Source organism: Homo sapiens, chromosome 3 (assembly GCF_000001405.40).
Source record: "Homo sapiens chromosome 3, GRCh38.p14 Primary Assembly".
Lineage (NCBI taxonomy): Eukaryota > Metazoa > Chordata > Mammalia > Primates > Hominidae > Homo > Homo sapiens.
In genome coordinates this window covers 115,217,117-115,220,655 of record NC_000003.12, presented here as the reverse complement: position 1 = coordinate 115,220,655, position 3,539 = coordinate 115,217,117, and the positions used below count along the sequence as shown (strand labels likewise).

Below are 3,539 nucleotides of genomic sequence, written 5' to 3'. Positions count from 1 at the left end.
TTGAGGAAAACACTGAAAGCAGTCTATATAGTACATCACCATCTAACTCTCCCTTCAGTGCCCCACCCACCCCAACACAAAGCAGTCTATATAGTACATCACCATCTAACTCTCCCTTCAGTGCCCCACCCACCCCAACACACGCAGCTATAAAATACCTCTCACTCAGCCTCTTCATTCATTTATGTACTTATTACTTTCCATGGTCCTTATTTGGAAAGGCAAATCCTTCTAGGAGTCATTACAAATAAAACCCCAAAATCAGGCTGAATTATTTAATCACATTTTCTGTTTTCCTTATGACCCAGAAGAAAAGGTGTCAGCAACTTGCCCACACATTTGAAATGCTGTGAATCCCTGACATTGCTCAAGTCTCAGAACCCAGTTGCTATGATCTGAACGTTGCTATGATCTGCACATTTGTGACCCCCAAAATTCATAAGTTAAAACCTAACTCCTAAGTTGATGACATTAGGAGGTGGGACCATTGGGAGGTGATTAGGACATGAGGGCAGAGCCCTTATAACAGAGGTCCCAGAGAGCTAGCTAGTTCCTTCCACCACTTGAGGACATGTAGAAGGTGCCATCCATGAACCGGCATGGGGACCCTCACCTGAGTCAGCAGATGCCCTGATCTGAACTTCTCAGCCTCAGAACTGTGAGGAATAAATTTCTGTTGTGTATAAGCCACCCAGTATACGGTATTTTGTTATAGCTGCCAGAGCAGACTGAGATGCCCATTTTCCCCCTCTGTGCCTTCTTTCTATCTTTGGTACTTTGCAGTGTCACTCAGAAAGTTGCAGAACAGTGTTCAAACTATTGATAGAGGCATTCTCGGCTCTCCTGGAAGATAGCCAGGCATTCCCACAGTCAGCCAAGTCACCTTCAGATATAAGAAGGACAGCCACTCTTGGAGCCATCCCTCCACTCTAGGAGCACTCTAGGTGCTCACCCCCTGGCCCACCTAATAGGGGCCATTTGCATGATCCTGTGGTCTAAGTTTAATACATGACCTGAGAAGCTAGGAAAAGAAAAGACATTGACAAGAATTAGGGAGAAAAATAATCCTGCTGGGATCTTATGATTTCCATAATCTTTATTTTCTTCAGCTGCAAAATAAGATAATTGGACAGCATAGCCAAAAAGATCTCTTCCAGTTAGGGTGACCAACTTGTTGCAGTTTGCCTAAGATAGCCTTGATTTTAAAACTGAAAATGTCACATCCTGGAGACCTTCTCAGTCCCTAGCAACCCAGGATAGTTGGTCATCTAATTTTCCTCTCCAGTTCATGAGGAAGTCCTAACTCATCATTTGATTGATACACACATATTTAGATTCATTTTTTGGTTTTAAAAGTAATAAGTTTCTACTTCATCATGCTTAATTTCAGCAGAAATGCAAATAATTCTGTCTTATCTCTCACATGGGCTTTAGACTTTATATATTGCACAATGTTGGTTAATGCAGGCAAATGAATGCTAAAACGTAGAAAGTTGACATTTCTTTACTTTGTGAACTTTTTGGCTATGCCCCACTGTGTGTTTTGAGCCTGTGTGTGGCATGGCAGCTGTGTTGTGGCCTCAGAGGACAGTGACATGATGTCATCAGAGGTCTCCTAGAGAGCTGCTCTCCCAGCATCATGTACCTGACAGAGAAAAACACTGCACAAGGTCTAAAACCAAGGGTCACAGTATCTGTAAATGCTACACAAATTATCACCTGCTATTTGCTATTCATATTAATGTAATTATTTCTGTGATTATTCCAAATTATTTAATTTTACAATTTCTGCTTTGAAAGAAAGCAATGACTTCATCTTTAGCTACTATTCTGAAATCAGTCATAGTGACTACAATCCCTTGTTTTCTTCACAAAAGAAAGAAAACAGATGACCTTTGCTCTGACCTTTGACTTGATATTTACAAAAGCTAATTATAGGGTGGGTCAACTTCCTTTATCATTCAGAGACATTTGGTAAAGCTCTACTCTTCAATTTTTTTTTAAGTCGCTTAGAGGGCAATTTAGGGCTGTATACAGTATGATTAAATCTAGAAAGAAATAGTTAATTTGGAATTTTGGCCATCAACATTGATTTTCTCAAAACCAATCAAGTATAACATGGAAGCTGTATAAGTCAGCAATTAAAATCAGTGTTTCACTAACAAAATGAAATCAGTTATCTGCTGGTCTGGTGGTTAGAGGTCATAGACATAGAGATACACAGTCTGAGACCTTCAGCATTAAACCTCTCTCAGTTTTCACCACCACTGCCTCTACTACTGCGTCAGCAAGAAAAGGACTGCAGCAACTGTGTAGTACTTAAACTGTAAAGGTTACTTGGCTAATAAAGAGATGAATGCCGCCAAGACAGAGCACAGTCATACATCCCTGTAGTGCATGTAACTTATTTACCTTTCATATAATTGTTATGCTTATAAACAGAAGCTTAAAAAGGATAAACAGTCAGAAGAGAAAAAAAGCATTAGGTAGTCAAAACAATGATGCAACCACTCAGCATTGCGCTTTCTCCCCAAGCTTCCCTTGGCAATCTTTTTCTCAGGCTAAGAGTAAAGGTCTGATTCCTTTTGTTCATTTCAGCCACCGCCCTTTAGCAATCTGAGTCTGAGCAAGACTGCCACGCCCAATCAAGGGACAAAGGCAGAAATAAGGGAAACTGGGCACAGAGACAGCTTGACTTCATTTATACCTGTGCAATATGTTGGGCTCTGTGACATGAAGGTGCAAATCAGTTGCTATCTCTATAAACAAACAATTAAAACAAGAGGCTTAAAATTTATATCTATGTTCTGAAACGCTATCTGGTAAAAGTATTCTTTTCCTAGAAAGAAAGAGATGTGGCCAAAGTGGTCTCTGATTTTCAGAAGAAGGGTGAATGCTGCCCCCTTTTGACTGAGCACAATATATACCGTGTATCCATAAACCTGAAACATAAAGCAATGCACAGTGAGAATAAAGATCCTATGTCTGTAATGAGAAATCTGATTAAATATTGGAAGCTAGAAAGTATAAAGGGGCTCAAAGTTTATCTAGTACAAGTCTCGAGGGGCCTTTTCTAGCTTCTTGGAAGATTGGTCATCCTTCATCCAGGCTTCTATATCATTTTAGTTGTGTCTCTTTTGTAGATTCTCAATTCTGTCTGGAGTGATCATATGAGTTTACTGCACTGTTTCTCCCACCAGTGATAGACTCCTTGAAAGACCGAGCTACATCTTTTTATTTTGCCTGTGTAACTCTCACAGTGCCTACAAACACTTGTGCATAGTGGGTTCTCATAAATAAATGTTTATTAAATACAAATACCTAGATGAGGTCATCATAGTCTGTAGTTGTGAGTAGTTCTCTCTTTAAAAAGCTAATGAGTCTATCTGGGATTTAAAGTTGACATTCACACAAATGGTGCCATACTTTAACCCAAGAACTGCAAACTTTTATGCACACATCCCTGGCTTATTTATAAATTATATGCATCTATTACTGAACTGTTATAGAAGTTAAAACATAAAAATTAAACAAGAGGA

The 3,539-nt window shown here is 39.5% G+C and overlaps 1 annotated feature.

Moving 5' to 3' along the window:
* Positions 1,274-3,173: an enhancer, noted in NCBI's record as "VISTA enhancer hs1648". NCBI's record gives its function as "enhancer in: midbrain (mesencephalon)[4/5]" and the evidence as "EXISTENCE:transgenic organism evidence [ECO:0001131][PMID:17130149]".